General features: G+C 37.9%; 1 protein-coding gene and 1 pseudogene across 57 annotated transcripts in view, besides 1 other annotated feature; both read right to left on the bottom strand.

Moving 5' to 3' along the window:
* EIF3KP1 (eukaryotic translation initiation factor 3 subunit K pseudogene 1) lies at nt 4652–5400 on the bottom strand (annotated as a pseudogene).
* Nucleotides 6608–24970, bottom strand: part of PAM (peptidylglycine alpha-amidating monooxygenase) — a 276323-nt gene continuing 257960 nt past the window's right edge. For 7 of the 57 annotated variants that reach the window (XM_024446072.2, NM_001438446.1, NM_001364592.2 and 4 more), the window contains 4 exons: nt 20280–20379; nt 17870–17923; nt 9475–9528; nt 6608–8826 (listed from right to left, as the gene is read on the bottom strand). In XM_024446072.2, the coding sequence (XP_024301840.1) occupies nt 8648–8826; nt 9475–9528; nt 17870–17923; nt 20280–20379 (387 nt within the window). In that variant the 3' untranslated portion in view covers nt 6608–8647. Of the gene's footprint in view, nt 8827–9474; nt 9532–12378; nt 12583–17869; nt 17924–20279; nt 20380–24970 lie in introns of those variants that run through there. The other 50 variants (XM_024446066.2, NM_001364586.2, XM_011543419.4 and 47 more) reach the window with 15 other exon arrangements.
* Nucleotides 8624–9823: an enhancer, noted in NCBI's record as "CDK7 strongly-dependent group 2 enhancer chr5:102363594-102364793 (GRCh37/hg19 assembly coordinates)". NCBI's record gives its function as "activates an origin of replication core promoter dependent on BRD2, BRD4, P300/CBP, MED14 and CDK7 cofactors, with strong dependence on CDK7, by STARR-seq in HCT116 cells {active_cell/tissue: HCT116}" and the evidence as "EXISTENCE:reporter gene assay evidence [ECO:0000049][PMID:35650434]".

The raw sequence follows: 24970 nt of genomic DNA, 5'->3' as shown, positions 1-24970 counted from the left end.
TTGTTTTTAACAATTCCAGAGGAGGGAAAAGATGGGGAAGCCAACCAATGAAAGGTGATAATTGACTTTCTGCCAATAAGCGAGGTAAGGACTTGAGTAATTAAGTAGGAAAACAAGATATTCGACCATATTTATACCGTGAATTTTGGGTGCATGTCATATTGCTTACAAATAAAATGAGGAAATTGTTTTATGCACCTGAATGAATGCTGCCAAATTCTCTTAGGGTGGGAGAGTAAGAGTCTCAGTCATTTACAGAAGAATGCCAGCAATTAAGTAAAGATGAAATGATGGAGTTAGAAAATCATTATTTGAGAACTCCCTCAAAATTATGGATTCAGAAAATGGTTGAATACCTAAAACTATTGGGTAAAATGTCGTTAGGGAACACGATACTCATATGGTCTCAGAGTGTTTTCTCTCAGATTACTTTCTAAAGACAAAGTGGAAGTGGAACATGTACAATGAAGAGATTTAGTGGACACAATCTTACTGAAGTGACCACATTTGGTATCATCAATAATGGGGGGAAAACGACATTATGTGCCTCCAATATGAAGCAGTGGAAAGTAGGAAATGTCACAATTATGAGGCAACAGCCGTATGAATCTAGACAGGGAGACATTGTGCTAGACAACTGACTTGGACTCTTCAAAAATGTCCATGTTTTGGAAGGAAAAAATGATACAGAATTACTTTAGGTCAAAGGAGACAAAAGAGATATAAGCAGATGCATTGTATGAATCTTAATTGGATCCTGGATCAAAAATCAAAAGCTCCAAAGGACTTTATGGGGACATTGAGGGTTTCCATATGAGCTACATATTGGTTGATAATAAAGAATGTGTTAAGTTTACTGAGTGTAGTAATGGTTTCGTGGTTATGTAGGAGAATGTCCTAGTTCTTGGGCAATACATATGGAAGTATTTAGGGTGAAGGTTATGATGTATGCAGCTTCCACCCCAAGTTCCTCCTGTTGTCTTTATTTAAACAGTTTTTTTCTAGCTTTAAGGTATAATCTGAATACAAAAATTGCACATAATGCAACTTATTTTCAAATGGTTCAGCGAAAGTAAACAAACTAGTGTGTATGTACACATATGTGTGTGTATCTATGAGAGAGAGAATGAAAATATGGCAAAATGTTAAGCACTATAAATTTAAGTGAGGAATATATGGGTGTTCACTGTAAGTCTTCAATAATTCTGTAGCTTTAAAATTTTCAAAGTAAAAAGTGGAGACAACAGAACACCGTAATTTGCTTGCATGTTTGTTTCACAATAAGTAGTATTCACTGAACATCAAATTTTGGTTCTTGATCACTTTGTCTCTTTTTTTGACTGGATGTTTCTATCAACCTTTTTCTGGGTAGATATCATAGTATAAAGATAGCTTTTAAGCCTCAAATCTCTACTCTTGGACGTGTATGTATTTTTTGGTTTTCATTGTTATTTTAACAAAACAAAGTTTAACATTTCTTCTTGTATTCAATATTGTTTGTGGGACCCCTTGAGGCTATCTTCATAAATACATTAGTATAGACTTAATTATAAAATGTCTCTTTTTAATGTAATAATTTAAACATTACACAAATAGCTATTACATTAAACCCCATTATCTGAGAAATATTATGGTTAAGTGTTAAGGTCCAATATAACAGTAATGAATATCCACTCTTTTTTCTTCCATAGAATCTGCTCTTATTCAACTAGCAATAGTATCCTATGTTTCCTTGGGGAAAACCAATCTTTCTGAATCATCAATGTAGTTACTGTGGAACGTGACTGTGTCCCTGGCTCCATGGAGGCTTGGCTAATCCAGCATCACATTTTCCCTGGCCCCAGTGACTGGTTCTGGGGTTGGCACATTGCTGTAGTTTGGATATGGTTTGTTCTGACCTAATTTCATATTGAAATTTGATCCCCAAGTTCAGAAGTGGGACCTAATAGGAAGTGTTTGGGTTATGGGGGCAGATCGCCCATGAACAGATTAATGCCCTCTTTTGGGGTGAGTTCTCACTCTATTAGCTCCCTCCAGAGCCTGTTGTTAAAAGAAGACTGACACCTTCTCCTCTCTCTCTTGCTTCCTTATTCCCCATATGATTGCTGCATATGCTGGCTCTCCTTCACCCTCCACAGTGAGCAGAAGCAGCCTGAGACCCTCACCAAACGCAGATGCCAGTTCCATGCTTCTTGTATAGCCTGCTGAGCCATGAGACATATATACCTCTTTCCTTTATAAATTACCCAGCCTCAGGTATTATTTTATAATAACACAAAATTGACTAAGATACACACGAACCAAATCAGGCCAGTTAGTGTATTGGAACTCTTTGGAAAGAGAAACCATATATGTCAGAGTAAATGCTGGTAGCATCTAAACCTAGAACTGTTGGCTGCCACCTTTATTACTGATGGCAGCCGTGGCCGGTCTAGGAGCAGGCTGCCATGATGCTGGCTGCCATGGGGGAGGCGGAGTCAGGACTGCATGCTCCCTGGAACACAGGAGCCAGGAACAAGCAGAAGCCCCGCCCCCTTCCAAGTTGGAGGGGGCTGTAACCACCCAGCCGTAGCTGTGGACCTAGACATCTCTGCACTGTTGGGGACCTAGGAAGCCCTTCTTGCCCCCACAGGCTTAGAAATACCTGCTTTCACTGCCTGGCCTTTCCCTGCTCCTGGCACCCACTGCAATTTTGGAGCAAAGATGAGGCCAAGCTCAGGTGCTGTCATGACCTGGCTGGGTGTGTGCATGCTAGGAGCAGTGCTGACATGCCAGCCCCCTGCCACTCTGGCCCCCTCTGGATTTTGGGTGCTAATGAGCACAGGAGGGAGGCTGGGAGGTTGCTGAGGATGGCTTGGCACAAGCCTGCAGGTGCTCCGGGCACAAACAGTTTGGGTGAACAGCAGGTTGATGGCGGAGGGAGGCAGACAGGCTTCTGGGCAGAAAGGGGCAGGTCCCTGGTGAAGCTCCACCTTCAGGCCTGGGATGGCATGAAGCCTGAGGCCCAGAGTGCCAGTTCCGTGGACCAGAGTGAGAACTTATGGTGCTTTATCTGACTTGCCCGTGGCTGCCCATGGACCAATCAACATGTACTTCCTCTCCTCCAAAGCCCAGAAAAACCCTGGACTCAGCTGTACTAGGGCGTCAGGATGACCTTCCTGCAGAGAGGAACTACCCACTGTGGGTCTCCTCTCAGCTGAGTTGAGCAGACATTGGGAGGACATGCCTGCAGAGAGGAGCTACCCACTGTGGGTCTCCTCTCAGCTGAGAGCTGAGCAGATGTCAGGATGACCTCCCTGCAGAGAGGAGCTCACCCACTCCAGGTCGCCCCTCCACTGAGAGCTGAACTCATTGGGATGAACTGCCTGCAGAAAGGAGTTACCCACTTTGGGTCTCCTGAGAGCTGTACTCTTGCTCAATAAAGCACATCTTCACCTTACTCACCCTCCAGATGGCCACATACCTCATTCTTCTCAGACATGAGACAAGAACTCGGGACCTGCCTAATGGTAGAACTGAAGAGTGGTAACACAAACAGAGCTGAAACATGCCCCTTGCTTACCACGTTGTGGGTGACAAGAAGGAGAGAAGAGAGAAGGAGGGATGAGCTGTAGCCCTTCAGGGAGCCCAGACCTAGGAGCACCCGAGCCAGGGTGTTGACACCCTCTTTGGGGCTCTGCAGTTCCTGGCCTCTCCAAGCTTCTGGGCCCCACTGCGTTCCCCAGTGCCCACAGTGGAAGCCATTTGTGGTATGCCTGGTGCAGCTGCAGCCTTGCAGGGAGCCAGTACCTGTGCCAGCACTGAGAGCTACCTGCCCTGCTACAGCCAGCATACCTGGCAGTGCGCAGTGGCCGGACCCCATACTCGCTCACTCATGCACCCCTTGCTGCTCTGTGCCTGGCTTGCCCTTGGCAGGCATGGGATCCGGGCTGGATCCTCTGACATTACCACATATGTGGAGAGTCTGAATGAAGGTAAACCCTATATAGAAGCAAGCCAAACTGAGAGGGAAGCCAAATCCTGTTTGTTTCATCTGAGTCTCTGGATCTAGCCATGCCTGGGCTTTTCAGTTATATGAATCAAACAATAATATTTTTTATTGATAAATTGTTATTTTCCTCATTTATTATATAGTAATTCTTAATAACAAGAATTTATAACAAGAACATGTTTAGTTCTTAAACCTGTTTGAATTTGTTTGTGATTACTAAAGAAGCCTAAGACAATGGTATGTAAAATAATCAAATCTAGAACTCAAAATTTCAGATCTTTTCTGACCTTAACCCAGTGTTCTTTGCAAACTCAAAAGAATGGCTAAGACTGGGCCATTCTATTGAATAGTGCTGTCTCCTTATCTGGAAGTATAAGTGAGTTGTAAGAACCAGTGCAATTGTGTTGTTCTAGCTACATGCATGGTTGACACTCTTCCAATTACAGAGGACAAGTTAATTACCAAATAAACAAAGCAGAGAATCACAACTACAGGGAGTTTTCATCATGAGAAATCTCCTGCTGAGAAGGTAAAATTATTAGGCAAAGGAGTACGAGGCTAGAACTAGCATCAGAAAGGACTCAACTTACCCATCAGTTTTCTAGACAATATATGTATATTTTGAAGGCATGAAGAATTATATAATATTCTTTTTTTTTAAGTCAACAAATCTTTATTAAACACCTGCAGTTACTGGAAGAAGGCCATGATGCTGGACACACTGTCAAAGTCTATCTTCTCCACAGGGTTCTTGGGCTTAATGTTCTCTTCCTGGCTACAGATGAAGATCTGCTGGGACTCATCAGCCCTCCAGGTGTATTTTCTCATCCACACCTTCAGCTGGCTGTCCGACAGATACCCAGGCATCTCGGCCAGCAGCCAGTGGTCGATGTGCTGGTAAGTGATACCCACGACAGGGCAGATACACATTCGGACAGAGTCTTCAAAGCCAGTTATACCTTCCAAGAGGTCCACGTTTTCATCCAGGGCTTCCCAGAAGGCCTGAAAGAGGCTGGTCTCCAGCAGGTCCTTGAGATACAAAATCTGTCAGATGGCCACTCTTCTTGATGTGCCTGGCCAATCATGCACTTACACGGGGTGAAGTTGGTATGTGGCAGGTTGGTGAGGGCCTTCAGCTGGATCTGGGCAGTGTCCGTGGTCTGAAAAAACACTGGGTTGGACTGGTACAGCTTCAGGACAACTGGGTTGGCTTCCAGATCATAGGCAGTGTCCTTGGCCTGCATCTCCACGTAGCACTCCAGGGTGGCCAGCTTCTCAGGATTGTTCCTGTTGATACCCTGGAGCAACATGCCCACATTGGCTCTCATCTGCTCAAATATCACCATGACTGCTGTCACCTTCCACAATGAGGGCTGGAAGCTAACACCAGACTGGCACGGTGTCCTCAAATACAGCATTCTTATATGACTTATTCATTTTAAGGGAGTTTGTATAAAATGCATTTTTGTTCAAAAACAAAAAGAGTTCTATTGTCATACTTGTTTTTTATAAGCTCCTATTTTGTATTATATCTTGGTATATCTGAATAAGAGCACTTTTTTTAAACCAGGTTTTCATTGGTAAATCCTTTCTGTATGATAGTACAGTGTATACTCAATTTTGAAACCCAGAAAAATTCACGTCCTTTTTTTATATCAGTACTTTGGATATGTGATAGACATCTTTGTGTTTTGGTGTTTCAAAATTTTTAAGGCTATGAACAGGAATCATATTTACCATCATCAATGATTAAGTTCTTTTAATTAAATCATGATACTATAAAAACACTCCAAATAGATTTGCTTATTCTAGCCTTTAGATGTGATTCAAAAATAAAAAGGAGGCCTCTAGGGAGGCCACTAGTGGCCTTTCTATGCACCTAAGTTATTTCCCTAGTGGAATAAAGAGCATCAGGGGACTAAAGGAAGAAGCTGCTGCTAAGTTCTGGCCCTGAAGATAATTTGCATATGGGATTTTTCATGAATTGAGTTTGAGGCACTGGGGTTGATGACTTCTAGGCCTAACCATCACTCTACAGAGACCACATCTTTGAGAATATTAACTTCCTGTGCCTAAGAATGTTTTAAAGTTCAGCTACTCTCTGTAGCACTATGTTTCTTGGAGATGAACCATGGAACACCTGAATTCAAATCACCAGGAATGCTTCTTAAAAATGTAGATTTCTAGGACCCACCCAGTGCAGTGAATCAGAAACTATGGGAAAGGGACCAAATTAGTACTTCTAAAATAAGTACTCACAGTTGATTCTTACCCACATTAAAGTTTGAGACGTATTGCTACAGGCTACATCAACTTTGAGCTACATGTAGGTGACAGTCTGGGAAACAAGCACTAATACAGATTCTATGGATTTAATTGTCATTCAGTTTCCTAAATATTTGATTTTATATAACATCTGGATGAGAGTTAAAAGATGCACGGTAATTTTGAAAAATAATATGCTGATTTAATAAACTAAAGAGGAAAGCTTAGAACAAAAGATTTTATGCAAATGATAATTCAGGGCCAATTCAGTGAATGACAAGCTATTCTTTTAACTCTCCCAAATCAAATTTTCAAGGTACTTTAATAGAAGAAAAAATGAAAGCACAGCTGTTTCCCTTTGCTTTTTTAATAAGTCATTTATGCCCATTTTAATTATCCAATTTAACACATTCAACAATTAAGGCATTCAGATTTTGGTGCTAACAGTCATATCAAAACACCTCAGATCCTGTCTTCCCCCTCCAAACATCTGTAAACTATAATTTATGTGAAAATATAGCTATCCACTTATTGTAACTGGCAAGATAGAATAGCTATTCTCGAAGACAATGGTTTTCAACTGTGACTGCACAATAGAAACACCTGGACAAATTTAAAAACATGAACCATACCTGTATTCCATTGTAAGCCAACTAAATAAAGATCACTGGAAAGAGTGAGTGCCCAACAATTTTTTTCTTAAATTCTCCAGGCGATTCTACTGTGGCCAGGCCTAGGATTCACTCCTCTGGGACATTTCTCAGGCAGTGCATTCTCTGACTCGATAAATGAAGTTCAGCCAAGAATAATCAGTGGAAAGATTGCCTGAAGTCAATGTCATTCATTACTTTCCAGGCTACCATCTTTAATTAACCCAGGTTGGCAGAATAAAGGTGGAGTGCTAGGACAGGATTGTAATGCCCTAGCAGACTTACCGTTTCCAAATTTCCCTTCTGTACTCTCATGTACTTTATGATTAGTCAATTATATCTGTATTATTCCAACTACTATGATGCCGGAAAAACAGGTTGGCATTTTTGAAAAAGAGTTTTAGATTCCTATCATTTTAAAATGGAAAATTATCTGGTTCTTACTAACTTGCATTGACGAATTACGAAAAAGACGTTTTAAAACTAATCTGCAATCACTGTAAAAGATGAATATATTCCTATGGATACATGGAAATTGTATTTTATTTTAGAGAAAGGATCTCACTCTGTAGCCTAGGCTGGAGTACAGTGGATTGATCATAGCTCACTGCAGCCTTGAATTTCTGGGCTCAAACAATCCTTCTGCTTGGCCTCCCACAATCCTTCTGCTTGGCCTCCCAAAGTCCTGGAAGTATAGGCTTGAGCCACTGTACCTGCCCTGAAATTATTTTTTAAAAGGAAAACTATTATTAGTGATCCCTACTGATGGATCATTTGCATATGTAATTTGAGACACAGGTATCCACTTAGCTGTGATTACCTTTTATTAAAGTATTTATCCTCTGATTGATATATAGGCAAAAACCCTCTTTGGATTTTAGAAGAGCCTGACTTTACAAATTTATGTAAACTCAGGCTGGTTTTTAATTTATATTGGCTAAAGTATCTTCTAAATTTTGTACAATACACACATTTCTTTTAGTTGAAGACATCGAGTAAGTTTCACTAATATTTGTGGGTTTGTGTAATTATTATAAAAGTTGTATGTAAAATCTGCAAATACGCAAAAACTGGAAAATACACTGACAGCTAATGCTCTGAAAACACTTTATTACACAAATTACATTCAGATTCTGAAAATAGTGTTCTAACAGTGTAACCATCTAAAAATAAGACATCCCAAAAACACACCAACTGAAGAAAATTTAAAAAAGAATTTAAATAGAGACTTTTTTATTTCCTTCATTGCAATATAATGTTAGTGATTTTAAAAAAATAGGAGATTTAGCAGCTTTGTCGTCATGTAGCACAAAGTTTCTCTTTACTGCCACAGGCTAAGAATGCTGAACAGGAAAGGCACCAAAGAAAGACACTGGCAATGAAAGTGCTATTGGGAAAATACTGTGTTCAAGCAAAGAATGGGGTTATTTACATCCACCAAAAAGTCTCAAAAGTGTAAATGGGCAAATCTTCCATTGTTAGATTAGAATTATGATGGAAAAAGAGGACGGTTTCTCTAGTCTATGTTCATATAAAGACAATGGCACTGTTATGAACTTTTAGGAAACTCCTCAACTAGAAACAGAAGCCAACTTAACCAAAACGAAGTAAATAAAGTGTGTACAGTCCCACACAGACTAGTACAGTTTACAATTAAATACACAGAACTTTAAACGTGCTAAAGGGAAAGGAATCTGACATTCTGGGTAAATCTTACTCAATCTAAATCAAAGCTTGGTTTTCAGGAGGAGGAAGGTGCGAGCGCAGGCAGAGGTGCTGAATACTCCTCTTCTGATTCACTTCCATCATCCTCTTTCTCTTGGTCACTGCCCTCAGTGCTAAGCCGGTCAAACCCTTTTCGACTGTAGCCCTTACGGCTTGCAAAGAAATTACCAAGGTTTAAGCCTCCACTTCCCTTTCCTGAAAAAAAGCAAACAATAACAGAATTGGGTAAAGTTTGCAGCAATGTCTGTTACCTTGTAAATTCTTAAATGATAAAGTCAGAAGGTGGGGATGGGAAAGGGGAGATTATTTTATTTAAAAATAAAATAGAAAAACAGACAGAGACGTATCCTACAGAGCCATATAGATGCTACTATTAAAGAAGAAAAACAAAAGCTCCCAAGTATTATGTATTTCTGCAGGAATATTTCATATTCACTTTCACCTCCTGCTTTTCTCTAGCTCTCTATCCAGAACTAGCCTCCCTGGAGCAGCTCCTCATTTCAATGACTTTAAGAAAAGGTCATCTTTACTATGACAAACATTGACATGCCAACAGGAGTGACAGAAAATTTGCTGAAGACAAATGAAGCCAGGTAAAAGGCAGGGGAAGAGAATTAGATAATGCAGAATGGGAAAAATAAAACTGGGAAATCTGCTGCCAGACCCATGCACTTCAGTTTAGTTTATGGTGTGCATTCTGTATTTACTCTGGGAGATGCTAAGCTGCATACAAGGTGCTTTATCTTCAGAGACAAAATATGAAATATCTCCTTGCTTTTTAAAAGACATGTGCTTGTTGACTTTGAACCAAACATGAAGGGTTCTAAAAGGTCATAGGCATACCTCTAAATCTTCCCAGTACTCTTCCTGAACTCGTCTCGAGTTTGTGTTCAGAATCTGCTAAAAAAAGATGGCACATTTCAAAATGAGTCCCAGTCATCTTTCTCAACCCATGCACTCAACTTCCAACTTAAAATAGGAACTGGTAAATGATAAAGCAAGGCCTGGCTCTTGTCTGTATGCAATTCTAATTTTTAAGAAAGGCGGTATATTTCTGAGACATACATAAAGGGCCCAAGCTGGGTTTGACTCCTGCCCGTGTCTCTTACTGGCTGTGCAGTCTTGATAAATTACTTCTCTGAGCTTCAGTTTTCTCCTCTGACAAAAGAAAGGTCAAGGAGAATCCCTGTCTGTAAGGCTGAGATCAGACACTGCATGTGACACATTTAGAACACTACCTATAGATATACAGTAAATGCTCAATAAATCATAGCTATTTTTTTAATCAGGAAATGTTATTAATAATTTATAAAATTTTTCCATCTTTGGTTATGACAATTTAGGGATATTTGCCTTCAGCTTTACTCTTTCTACTGACAGTACGTATCTTGCTTGAGAAAGCTTTGGATCCATGTATATCGTTTCTTCTTTATGTAAGACATAAGTGAAGGGAAAGCACATGACACCCTGAGTATTTTCCAAGCATAGTAGGTGACCTAAATGTTCCCAACAGGACTGCCTATCTCCATAAAGGACAGACTCTCTTTCCTTATGGGGAGACAGAACTCCCAATGGGTTTCATTTTTTCCCTTGCTGTGTCTCTCCCTGTACTATTTCCCAGGCTTCATCACTCCCTCAAGGGCTATGGTCAGGAAAGTCAGGCCTGGGGTTGTCCTGTTAGGTCTTTAACCAGGACTGAAGTCAGCATCATGGAAAAAGATAGCGCAGATGAGAGGAAAGGGAGAAGACAGTGATGTGGAAAGAAATAGGCAAGAAGGGAAGAAGAATCTGGTAAGACTGTTAGAAAGCCAACAAATTAGATTGTAAGTTCTGCAAGGACATTCCTTAGTTTTGTATCCCCATGTGCCTAGCACAGTGTCTGATATGGAGTCAATACATAATAAGGAATGATGAATAAATGGAAGGTCCATTAGGGTTTTTAATAACCTTAGACTGGATAAGATCTATCAAGAACAAATTCAGAAAAAAAGTGAGAAGCTGATCTACTACTACTACATATGAAACTGCAATTTTTCTAAGTAAAACACGGTCAAATAATGGCAATTTTCTAGGGTTCTACCTGGGTCTCTACCTTCCTAACACATTCCTGTAAAGTCAGCATCATGTAACAGTGCTGTGTCACATGTGCTTAACAACAAACAGGAGAGACCAAATCTTCCTTATTCCCTAGCCACTGCTTCTGCCAGATTGGGTTGGTTACCACAATTCCTGCCACCTTCCCCTAGGCCCCACTGTTCCTACTACTCTGTGTATTTATCACTGCACTTACCACCCTCTACTATAACTTTTTTGTTTCATGTCTCTTTCATATGTTATCTATTCTGTGAGCTCGGTTGATTTATTCATTCATTCTTTCAACAACAATTTATTAAACCACTAGTATCAGAAACTATTATTTGTGCTGGGGACATATCAGTACTCAAGATATGGATTCTTGCTCTTTTGAAGCATCTATATAACACCATGAAGACAATGACTATGTTTATTTCTCTTTGCCCCTACTTATGACAGTTCCAGATCTGTAACATGGACTTAATAGAAATCCTTTTTGGGAAGAGTTAACTATATTTTTATAGAGATTTATTGATGGCACATGAAAAGCAAAATAAAGTCTAATAAAAATTCCCTTTTACAACATATTAAACTGAATTTTCTGTTTTCTGTTTCCATGCCTTTTTCTGTGTCAGGGCTTTGCCAAGGGCACTGAATCCCTGCCATGGCTGCCTTGACCTGAAATAGGATCAGATGCTGTTTCTTGATCAAATGCTCCCCCTCTCCCTGATCCATGGATTTCTTCCCACACACAGCTATAGACTTGCTCTAGGACCTGGGGACCCAGCCAAGGGACTGCTACTGAGCGGTAAGAAACATGAATTGGGTTGTTTATTTATTTAGATGTCCTAAAATAAACTCAGCTCTTGGATCCTATATTGTGATAATGATTTCATAAAATACTAACTCTGGTATTGGACTCTGCCTTGTTCAGTTATGGAAGGCTGATGAGCTAAATTATGACTATTCAAAAACTATCAAATGGTTTGTTATAGAATTAATTTTTCTTGAAAACTAAGGTTTAAGACAAGTGTTTTTTATAACTTCTTATGCCTTTTGTTACTTTATTACCAATGATTATTCATCATAACCATTGGTGGTATTGAGTACTTCCTAGGTTCCAGGTATCCTGATAAATGCTTATGTACATTATTTCATCTTTGTACAACCTTGTAAGGTAACTATTTTATCCCCACTTTTTTATGAGAAAACTGGTCTGGAGAGATTAAGTAACTTGCCCATGGTCATGTAGCTAGGAGCCTAATGGGAGAAAAACACAACCTGAAAAACTGACCCAGGTACTTTGAGGACTGGGCCTCTTCCTAACAGCAGGTATCTCCTCCTCTGATCCTTCAGCTAATTTATACTGACTCTACTACCTACAATTTCGTATGGACTCATTAATTGGACTTAAGCCAATTGCTAAAAGATAGTATTAAAGGTTATATTTTAATCTAACTATCCAAATTTCAGAGTCTCCAGATACTATTTTGTACTGTGATATTAACTAGGGGCAATATTTGGAACATAGACAATAATGTCAAAAATGGTAGAGAGCATTAAAAACAAAAAAACAAATACAGTGAAAAAAATCCCAATCAAACTCCTGAGGATAATTAGGCCAAACACTCTTTCAAAGGCAGGTTCCAAGTTCACGGGGCTCATTTTACTTGCCTCCAAAGGCCCTTGATTTTTTCCACCGAATAAATATGGCAATGGCCAGCAGGACAACCACCGGAATAACCAGAAGGGTTGTAATGAGAACAACAGGCACTCCCGAGCCTGGCTCTTTGATCAGTTTCTGTTTCTCTTGCATCTTCTGCAATTCTGAGGAGGTGGGTTTGTTCTCCATTTTGGTTTCAACAACTGCCTCGGCTTCTTCAGGGAAAGAAGAGTTCACAATATTCAACTGACTCAAAGATTTCAAAACCCCCTTACCCACCCCTACCCAGTCAAATCAATAACTGTTCACAAAGAACTTGTTGACTCCAGTGTACAGGGGTTTCATGTTTTAATACCTGAATCTACCAAACTGGCAGCAGGCATTGTGATTAGTTATTTCCACTGAATGGTTTTTCACCTTCAAATTAGTTTTCTTTTGTTCTACTTTTAATATGCTCTTTAGCTATAATTCCACAGAATATATATCCTTTTGTATTTTTCCAAAGGTAAAATTAATAAGACAGTACTGTGTAGGGGAAAGAACTGGTGTGCATACTGGAATCAAACAAACCTGGGTACAAATCCCAATTCTCCTATATACTAGCCGTATAACTTTGGGCAAGTTACTTAAATTATCTGGGCCACAGTAACTTCATCTATAAAACTGTAATAATAGGACCTCCTTCATAAAACTGTTGGGTGTAAATGTCTGTCATAAAAAATGTATATAATAAGTGTTTGTTTCCTTGTATCTTTAGTTTAAAAATATTTTTCATGTTCAATTAATTTTTGGTATTTCACATGGACAGCTGCACACATTAATGCTAGGATTACAAAAGAAAAAAGGAACTATGTGCTTTTCAGGCTCTTTTATATTGTTTTCAGCAAAATGTGAGTACAGACAGATGAACTGTATATCCTTTTGTTACTGATGAAAAGAACAACTATTATAATAACTAAAACTATTCTGTAACATTGGCAGGTACTGGGTAGGTATCAAGCCTAAAGTACTGTTTGGGAAATTGATGCAATGAAACTATATAAGCTGCTGCAGTGATCTTAATAACTAATGATATGAAAATGAGGTTGAGCCTTGAGACATCCTTGCCCTACAAGAAGCACATATGTGTATTTGTATAGAAACTCTAGTGTACAAAGACTAGTAAGAATTTGCCCAGACTAAAAGTTACAACCACATTTGCAGGAAGACTCACAGGTCATACATTTCTGAAATTTCGACTTCTTGGAATGCCCTTCTGCCCTACGATACAGAATGCATTGTAAAGCCTCAAGAAGATTTTGACAAAATGGTAGGGATAACACAATCAGGAAAATCTTTGGTTAATGTTTAGTAGGTATAGATTCAGCTTAGTAGTTTACTGGATACTCCTCCAAATAAATGTTTCCCAAATCATTTAAGATGCTGTCAACATAATTTATAATACAAACAGATGGTAGGTTCCAACTCTTTGCTTCAACGTTCTGAGCCAGCCTCTTTGACAGTCTCAGTGATATCTATTGAGTACTTACACCATTGTCAGGCATCGTTTCCTTTAATCATCACACCAAGCTCATGAGTAGGCACTATTATTATCATCACCATTTTGTAGATGACCTCATAGTCCTCCTTTCCTTCCCTGTACTATGGCTAAAGGGAGACCATCCTTTGTTTTCTTTTGTCCACTCAAGTGACTCTTGAAACTTGAAAGGGAGGGAAGGAAAGGAGTGGTTCATAGACCTAGAAATGGTTCAAATATAACTTTTCTATGTCTAGTTTCTGAGGGGAATACAGATGTGATTTCTATTCTTTCTGACCACTCATTTGTCTTTTTTTTTTTTTTGGTTGCTATAGGAAAGATATACAAAATTGCTCTATATTTAAGCTTATTCTATATTTAAATAAGAAAATTGCAATAAATAGATCATGGGAGTAAAAAACACAGGCCAAAGATGTAGGTTGGCATTTAAGAACTTGTTTCTTTTGGAAGAAGGATTTGTTCTTGTTTGAAGGTGGGTATTACCAGAGTAGTTACTGCCTGTCATTTAGTAAGTTTATATGCACCTAATATACAATGGGTATACTAGGTCATATCTAGTTTCATGGATAAGGCAGAACCAGAATTGGGCAACATTAAATGGAAGGAACTGTGGATGATACAGGTGAAAGACTAAAAGAATCAGTTTAGCATTCACAGAAAGTAATGAGAATGAGGCAATGAACTTACTAAGATATAATACATACACAGCACTTTAGAAATTCTTGATTTTCACATCACTTCTGATATTTTGAGTGTTATCTACTAAAAATACTTAAACAGTCCAACTTTTGGAACTGGCTGAAATATATTTAAGATTTAAAAGATGCTCTACATTTTTAAAAAGGAGGCTAAAAATTTAAAATGTTCCATTCTAAAGAAAATAAACAATATTGCTACTCTTCACAAGAGCATTTGTATGTGGGGTAAAATGCCTAAAACAATAGTTATAACTTAAGAGTCTAAGAATTCCACTGAAAGCCTGAAGAATAATCCAAATTCTGCCACTTTCACTCTTTATCCTAAATTCTTTTATTAAAAATCCCAGTAATTTGGAGCATCTATGATGAATGAAGAGTGAAGAAGCTCTAAGATTAGCCAGAACACTAGGTTTCTGGAAAACAGGAGGCACCTAGAATGACCATTCTTTTGTCATATAAAATGCCAGGTGTATTCTGGGTAGAATGAACATGCCTTAAAATCTTATAAGAGTGCAAGCCCTTGTAGCATCTCTATAGATATTTGGAAATAAACAAATTTTCTAAAAGCTGATGTATGACAGTTTTTCTTCTTCTTTAAAGCAATGCGTTTAGAAATGGAGGTTAGCTACATTCCTGTGTGAGTGCACATATACATGTATGTACAAATCTGTCTCCCCCTAACAGAAGAGAAGTCTAGAGACCACTTGGAATTGGAATAACTTGGACAGGAAGGGAAGGACATTCTTAATACAGCAATTGTATCCCAGTTCATCACAGACAGAACTGAAGGCTGAAGGCAAATGGCATACTAGGAAGTAACTGGTTACGGGACATGAAAAGTGCATATATCACCAATGAGATCATTCTTTTTTTTTTTAATGTGTTTCCTTACAATGTGTTGCTTACCATAAGGCCTAAAAAGCTAACTGCACTAAAGAGGTTTTTTTATTTTTTAAAAGTTTTATTGAAAGTGATTGGCCATTATCATCTTTTATTTGGGGGGGTGGGCTTGGGGGTGAGAGCTATGCTTTGGTGAGATATTGCTATACCTGTTTTATCTCTAGTAACTTTATTAGAAAGTTTAATCCTTTTCATCAGTTTTTTTTTATCATCTGAAATTATCTTATCCTTACAACTTCCTTAGAACACTGGTTCTGAAACCTTTTTAATAATAATTAGTTATATGACCATTCATAGTAGGGATAAGTGTTATCAAAGGCAACTCAAATTTGGGGATTAAAAATTAACATGTAACTACAAGGCTATTAAGTCTGAAATTGTGTTTTCCCTTCTCTTTTATAAAGGGTGGTTTGAATTAAGTTTCAAGATATTGATAAAACATAAGATCTAGAGATCCAGCATGATTTACATTCCCTTTGTAATAAGAACATAATCTTAAAGGTTTAATGAGAGCCATATGGGTTCAAGGAAGAAGAGACAACTTCATTTGAGTTTGGGTTAACTATTAAAACTGGACTGTCAAGGCAAGACATTTCAATAAAATTTACTGTTTGAACTGCTGGGTTTGACCACAAACCACTTCCACAAAGTCGGAAGGTTTCTGACCAATTGGACTCAGTGGTGTGCACACAGGAGAGAGGAAATGGCCTATATGACAGCATTATTCATCCATCATTGACCGGCTAAGATGAGGTCAGTATGGCTAAGCTGTTTTCACCAGGCCAACCAGTACCACCTAGAATTTTTTGGTGAGATCTATTTAAACAGAAATGAGTTGAGACTATTTTAAAATTCTAGAGGTTTCAGAGTAAACTATAACCATTCCCAACCTGCAGTTCTTGGGAGAATTTATAGTGAATGAATTGGTGGTATCAGTCTCTCCTCAGCAGTATAGCAATAGTGGTTAAGAGTGCAGGCTTTGGTACCAAATAGATTTTGGTTTAAAGCTTGACTCTAAAATGTACTATCTTAGTAGGAATTCTGATCCTCAATTTCCTCATATGTAAAATGGGGATAATAGCAGTTATTACATGGTTGGCATAAGGATTAAATGTAATAATTTCTGTATAGCCCATTGTTTCTGCTCTGTAAGTGATAGCTACTATTAACAACATGATCTTTCCCAACGTCTTTATTCCAGGGCAAACAGAACTTACCAATAATTATATATATAGCAAAGACATAAAACTAGGGGGACAGGAACCTTCTTTAGTATATGAGTGTGATATGAATGCCACTTAGTAGTGTCACTTGGATCTCTACAAATGCCAAACAATTGCTATTTATTTTATAATATTTTATTACCCCTTGAGCTGGCTATATTTTCTTATCTGTCTGCATAAAATCCTTAAACTCCCCCTTGCTGTTGCTGCTTTTCATTTCTTTTCCAGCTGCTTTGATGAGAAAAGAAAACAAGTAAGCCTAGGTTTGTGTCTGAATGTCTAGGTGAATCATTTGTAAAGCAACTAATAATGGAATCCCCTTGCTACTTAAATATTAGGTAACATGAGCAACTCATAGCGAGTCCTTAACTGGAAATGACATGTCAAAACCCTGCAGATGCTAGAATGTACAAACATAAACTGATCCTAGGAAAGAGACAAAATAAGTTGACAGGGACTCCATATGAACCCAGTGGTTGCTTACCAATAGCTAAATCCCATTTCCTTAGTCCTGATATTATATACCAGTGATATACTTATTTGTATATGTGTTTATGTATGTAAATTTCCCCCTCTCTCCTTATAAGGCTATAAGGTCAGGTGCAGTCTCATTTCCCTTAGACCTGCTATAGTGCTTTACACACAAAAGGCCCTCAGTAAATCGTGGAAGCTGAATGGTACTACGATAGAAGCTAAAGAAACAGCTAATCTTTCCATACCATTATAGCACTGACCCACCAAAGATATTTTTCACTCCTTTATATTAGGGCCTATTAAGAAAAGGTTTTTCCAATATGCCAAATCATATTTTTTTACTTGCCTGGGGTTAATGTACTCCCCAAAGTGGCTGACTTTTTTTCTTCTCGGAATATCTCTGGCTCACTAGTTACAAAGTTTTTGTATCCTCAATCACTTTCTATCACTTGAAATCAGTAATTTGAGCTCATTATGACTGCTCCATTTATCAAAAAAAAAGGGAAGTGGCAACATACAGGTTTAAAGGCTCAGTACATAGCAGAAGTCACTGATAATTTACCAGATTATATTTTTAGCCTGGTAATTTTTTAAGTTGCAATCAAGGGCCATAAAAGAATTCAACACAGCCAGACTTTGGTTTTATAGTAATAAGAGGAATCTGACCAACCTTTGATTTCCTGGACCTCAATGCCAGCCTTTTTAACTGATCGATGTTCCAATTCTGTAACAACACAACAAGGAGAGAGAAAAGTCAGAATCTCCAAAAAGAACATTTGAAAATTTAACTTTGATATTAATTTTACTCAGTAGAAAATATTTCCTTAATTCATCAAATGCATTATTATATTAGGAAAGAGTTCAATACAAACCACTAATTAGGTGGTCCATGAATCCTGGATAAAATCTCCTAGGGAAAGCTAAAATATTTCTAAGGACTTCATATTTACAATGAGTTATTTCTTGTAGAGTTCATAATATTGTATTATTTCTGAAAGACCAAGCAGATCTGCCTTCATGTGGACAATATCTTAGACTGATTACTAGTTCTGACATGTTGGGTTAGCAGTCTTCTAGTTGATGTTAATGGATTTGACCAGTTAACTACAAGGATGCAAATAAATGAGACACCGATTTAGTGTTCAGTGGCAGTCTTACTGTTCCAGATATACTGTTTTCCAGATTTACTGCACTCTGCGCTATGCAGAGGGCTTCTCTATTTTGAAGCTGAATGCCATATCGCTGTGCTTTTCCATCAGGAGATGTACCAAAGTCACTTGGGAGGACTTTCTAAAATACACATAATATTATTCCTCTTCTTTCTGTAGATCTTGAGTGGGGACTGGCCATGTGTATTGTAACAGTCCCCCCCCGTAGGTAAATCTGACATGCATCTTCTGAGTTTCAAACCACTAGGGTGGTATAAAGCAGGGGTCCCCAAATCCCGGGCCATGGCCTGTTAGGAACTGGAACGCACAGCAGGAGGTGAGTGGCAGGTGAGTGTAACCACCTGAGCTCTGCCTCCTGTCAGATCAGTGGTGTCATTAGATTCTCATAGGAGCCTGAACCCTTTTGTGAACTGCGCATGCAAGGGATCTAGGTTGCGTGCTCCTTGTGGAATAGTTTTATCCTGAAACCATTCCCTCTGCCCATGGTCTGTGGAAAAATTGTCTTCCATGAAACTGGTCCCTTAATGCCAAAAAGGCTGGGGATCACGGTATACAGGGCCTCAGATTGAAATATTAATGAGTTCAGGAATCATGTTCCTATCCATAAAATTAAGATATTGGTTAGATTTTCTTCTGAAGTCTTCTCCATCTTTCAAAGTATTTTTGCATTTGTTTTTGTTCTGAAAATCCACACTTTAGTCATGCAGTTGGGGGTTATCCATCTATCTTTGCCTTATTGTCTGACCCTGCCTTCTGGATCCTCTTTGACAATTCGGGTGGTGAGAGAGCCACATTTGCAAGGGAAATGTGAAGCTACTGCTGGAGTGGCATAGTCCATGGGCATCTCTGCTCACTCAACCCTAACTTGGTTCTTTTTACACAACTGCAAACGTTATCCAAAGGATAGTTCTGACTACAAAAGTTACCAAATTAATTGAGATCCAAGCCCTATATCGTATCTGATTATGTGTTTGGACTCCTGATTTTACTTTCCATTGCTGTAATTTGTTTTCTTGCCTTTTTATAATTTATGTTTTTCCTTTTATAATTAATATTTTTCTTCATCAAGTTTACATATTGTTTTTTTGTCCTTTATCTAAAACTACCTGTTGAAGCTCCTGATACCTCAAATTTATCATCCCCAATTATTTTCCTTACTCTCACCTTCTGCTATTTGGGCCCTGCCATGTTTTAAAAGTATTTCTGGACATTGAAGTTGTTTGTGTCCTATCAAGCATTTGGTACACTTCAATTTAAAAAATTTATTTGTTTTAGCATATTAGGGGTTAAAAGTTAGTCTGCTTTTTAGAGATGAAAATGATGTCCAAATTCCAATTAGAAAACTCCAAAACTAGTTGGCAGGATCCTGATGGAGCAAATCTATACTTAGACAACATTTTGAGTTACATGAAAATATAGCAATTCAGTTATTTGGGAAAGCTGAAGTCCAAGCAGAAAATTCAAAGTGCTTCTTCTTTGAATATTTCCAAATATTCATATTTGGGATAATATGTCTCAAACGGATGCTGGTATCTCTAGATGCTCAGCAGCTACTGAGAGCTAAAGGGCCATATGGGGAATGAGGCTTTATGGAAAGAAGTCAGCCCCTCTGCTTTGCCAAAGCCCCCTCTCTCCTTCTGGAACTAAGCTGGAATTAATGTTGACTTTTAATGTAACAGACAGTACTTCAGGCATCAAGAATTTCCTGTGGAAACAAGGGGATAAGTGCCAGCAAAAAAATCGTTTCTTTCCACTTAATGGACACCAAATAGGTCTTTTAACAACTGCTTTATACTTTGATTCCTACTCTCATCAGTAAAAAGATAAGGAAATGCAAATGTTTTTGTTTCATATGCTTTTAAGCAATCAAACTGAGGGAAAATGTGAACAATAATACTGTGAAAACCATACTCTCAGTCAAGGTGAACTTCCACACGGTGTTGGTATGAGCATCTCCAATGTACACAGTCCCATCTTCAGATGCAACAATATCATGAGGCATATCAAAGTGCTGCCAAAATAAGAAGCTACACATTAGAGTGGTGAGCCTTTACTTGAATCCTTCATGAAAAGACAGAAAAACAAAGCAAAGCCCACAACAAAACAACAAAACATATTACTCAAACCAAAGCAAAATATTTCCTATTGAAGCAACCCTAGGCTGAAGGGAGTCATTCATTCATTCATTCATTGGGTACTGACTCTTCCAGGCATAATTCTAAACATTGGGAAATGCTAAGGAACCCCCACTACTGACTTTCAATTCTTTTAAGTGTGAAAATTTACAGGTATATTATTTTTTACAATACTGTTTACTTGGTGTTGCATTATCTGTCTAGTTATTTATATTGGTTTTTGCCTACATGTTTCTTCTACCTTTTAATAACTATCAAATTTGCTTTTTTAAATTTGTACAAGTAAAAAAGTCTAGGTATTAATTTTTATTATTCCCATCAAGCTATCATGTGCTACCTTAAAAACTATTTGTATATTATTGATAAGAAAAATCATTTCAGAGATTTGGGACATTTAATTTTTTGAAATGTACACTAAGAGATACGTAGCAATGTGGGGTTTTATACTCTTGAAGTCTTATGTTTGTGATGTTTTCAGTCAGCAAAGGAAAGAAATTGAGTGTTACCTCCAAGTACTTCCTGGGCTTTTGTCCCTACTTCAGATGCTCTGTATTTTAATATATCTTTCTCTATTTCAAATCATTGTCATCTCCATTATGAGGACACAAGAGACAGGGGAGATCCTTTTGTGACTTTCTTTTGGGGATCACCAAACTAGTTCTTGGAAGAGAAGCCTTAAATTATTGTGCTGCTGACATTTCCATTGTCTCTGGAAGCCTCCAAAGGTGCCCTGGGTCTGGCAGTTGGCAGGATATAGATAACATCTTTCACCTTTAAGGCCAGAAGGCCTGCCTGGATACACAGTTATCAAAAATATGACTAGTGAGTATCCAGACCATGGGCTTATCAGCCAGCATCTGCCTAACCCTGATGTGCTGATTTCAAAGGGTACTAATGAGACAAACTACTGTTCCTAGCTCAGTTTAGGCGGGGCAGAAGAATACATGCTCTGGAGATACTATCGTACTTTAGAAATCATCAAGTTTATCACACTGAAAAGAAAAATGAGATAGCCATGCCAAGGAGGCTCATTTTTTTTCATACTTTCAAATAAGCTGTGACAAATATGTAGAGGAAAACACAGAGCCAGAAATCAAAATGCTGCCTTGCTGAAATCCTGCGGGCTTGTCATTAAATGTTCATCTTTTTTGGGAGGTTCAGTTAATGGATGGCAAAAGACTACCAAATGATAGGCCACTCCTGTTCTATACCGTAATATGTTCTTAGAAATTTCTTTGTAAAACATATGGTTGTAGAATACTTCATATTTTCTGATAGGAAAAATATAATGATGGGGGAATAAAGGTGAGGAGGGAATGTGTAAACTATTCACTGGCTAAGAACTTTGCTTTAAATAAATCACAATATGTCATAAATTCAAGGCAACAACAATAATAAACCTTTATTAGTGGCTCTCAAGTGAGAGAGCCACTAATCTGTATTTATAGCAGAACCTTGGTCCCACTGATCCATGAAGCCAAGGGTTCTGCTAGAAATACAGTACTTTGGGGCCACTATAGGAACTCAGGGGGAGGCGTGGTAGATGGGACTCTGTCTTCTTGCTCATTATGAAGACTCATTATGTCTTCTTGCAGTCAGAAGAACTCAGTTGTAATCTTTTCAATGAACTGTTCTAGTGCTTTGTGTCATTTGAAACAAAATTATGTGGTTAAATTTTAGGACCAAGCTTTAGTATTTTTAGAGCTACACAGACATAAAGATCTTCTAATCTAGCCTTTGCAGACTCTTCTTTTGAGGTACCCCCAGCAAAATAAAATCAACATGACAGAAGCATGATAATATCTTCACCAGGCATCTGGTGACAAAGCCTGGAGCAAACTGCCTTCAAAATCTTGTATTTTATTTTAAAAACTCGTAAGGAAATTCGTGTTCTACTCCATAGCATAACAATGTTTGCTTCAACATAGTAAGTTTAAATGTACTTAATATTAAGTAAAACAGTTCTTCTAAGTTGCACAATGTTTATGTTGTGGCTTAATATAGCCCTTGGCATACCAATGTGTACTTCAGGAATGAAAAGGTTAAGCAGCACATTTCAAAGTCAGAAAGACCTAGGTTTGAGATCCACATATGCTACTCCATGTAGCTTGAACAAGTAATTTAACTTAAGTGAACTTTTCAGCTCAAGTATTGTCATTTTAATCATCACTGTGAAGGTTGGAAAAATGACATAAATCTGGGCTCACTTTTTTTTCTTTTGGTATGGAAGGATGGGGATCATTCTCTTTCTTTTCCATATGAGCTGCCACACAGAAGACGACAAAAAATATGCCTGTCCGAAGGGTGTGTATAAAAGCAGATAATGAGGGACCACAAGTCTGTCCTTTGATTACAGGGGGAATGACTTGGGGAATGACAATGTGTATTTTTCTCTCACAGCTTTTTGATAGCATTTGATAGAACCATTTTCTTTATTGTCCTACTGTCTAAGCTTCCCTGCACAGACATAAAAACAGAGTCCCTACATTCAGATGGAAACATCTCTAAAGAATGTAATAGTAGAAGATGGAGAACTGAAATGTAAGAGGAGATAAGGAGTGGGTATGCACAAACAGAAGCACAACCCCCTTATGTAAAACTTGACCTTCATCGTGAAGAGGAATCTCTTTTTACACAGGAGTCAACAGACCATATTATTTCCTTCACCCAAAATTAATCTTTGTGATAATAATCTATTTAATGAAAATTCTGAGAGATTTATAAACTGATTTCAGTTTACTGTGTCAACACAGAATATATTTATATGTTTTGGTGTAATATCAAGTCTTGTTTACTGAAAGGAAAAGCAAACTTCATCTTGGAGTGAGACTCTTTTCAAGTTTGCTGAATTGACCCACATATTGTGACTCATTCTTTGCCTAACATCTGATGAAAGCACAATGCTTTGGAAATTTTAATTGAGAACTCTTCAGATTTTTATGACGTTAAGGCTCATTTAGCCTCTTGCTTAGCACTTAGTTTTTATTTCTAGATGCATATTTAAATTAAAAGTTAATATCCTGGTTGACACAGTACATTATCATTAAAAGAATGAGCAAGGCAAACACTCCACTAATACAAAGCAAAGAACTGAAAGTTAAGCATCTCACTTCCTTTACCAACAGATATGAGGAAGTTAGTTCAAAGGGGCACAACAATGAAGACTGGATAATCAATAAGGATCTGAAACACTATGGAATAAAATATTTATTATCAGTGTAATGAATTTCTTTCTGCAGGGTTGCTATGCTTTGAGATTTCATTGCCTATTGCTTTTCTGGTGAAATATTTCTAGAAAAATCTTATTTGTTTATATAAATAGAAACCTAAAGAAAGGAATGTATACTGGAATCTTTAGTTTAGATTCATTTTGGTTATATTCAGATCCTGTTACTATGGCTTAAAGCTCCAGTGAACAAAAGGCTGTGTCTCTTTCACCCTTTTACCCTTATTCACCTTTATACCCTTAGTACCTAGCATAATGCCTGATACAGAGTAAGTATTTAATGCATATCTCTGGAATAAAATTTGATAAACACCAGACTAGCTGTCAGTATTAGACTAATTTCTATTAATAAAACATTGAAGCATTTTACTTTTACCACCGTTACTCAACATAGTACTGGAAGTCTTAGCTAGAGCAATCAGACAAGAAAAAGAAATAAAGGACATCAAATTGGAAAGGAAGAAATCAAATTATCCTTGTTTGCAGATTATATAATCTGATATTTGGAAAATCCTAAAGACTCTACCAAAAAAACTATTAGAAGTGATAAATTCAGTAAAGTTGCAGGATACAAAATCAACATAAAATATCAGTAGCATTTTTATATGCCAATGTGAACAATCTGAAAAAGAAATAGAAAATGTAATCCTATTTACAATAGCCAAAAATATTTTTAAGTACCTAGGAATTAACCAAAGAAGTGAAAGATCTCTACAATGAAAACTATAAAATGCTGATGAAAAAAACTGAAGAGGACACACACAAGAAGGGAAGATACTCCATGTTCATGGATTGGAAGAATCAGTATTGTTAAAATATCCATATACCCAAAGCAATCTGCAGATTCAATGCAATCACTATCCAAATATCAATATTCTTCACAGTAATGAAAAAAATTCTAAAATTTATATGAAATCACAAAAGACCCAGAATAGTCAAAACTAACCTGAGCAAAAAGAACAAAACTGGAGGAGTCATATTACCTGACTTCAAATTATACTACAGAGCTATGTAACCAAAACAGCATGGTACTGCCATAAAAACAGACACATAGACCAATGGAATCGCATAGAGAACCCAGACAAAAATCCACACACCTACAGTGAACTCATTTTTTTTTTTTTTTTTGAGGCAGAGTCTTGCTCTGTCCCCCAGGCTGGAGTGCAGTGGCACGATCTTCGCTCACTGCAAGCTCTGCCTCCCGGGTTCACGCCATTCTCCTGCCTCAGCCTCCAGAGTAG

The sequence above is a fragment of the Homo sapiens genome, chromosome 5 (assembly GCF_000001405.40).
Source record: "Homo sapiens chromosome 5, GRCh38.p14 Primary Assembly".
In the NCBI taxonomy this organism is placed as follows: domain Eukaryota; kingdom Metazoa; phylum Chordata; class Mammalia; order Primates; family Hominidae; genus Homo; species Homo sapiens.
The sequence above is the reverse complement of the archived record's forward strand: the minus strand, read 5'-3'. Positions and strand labels throughout refer to the sequence as shown.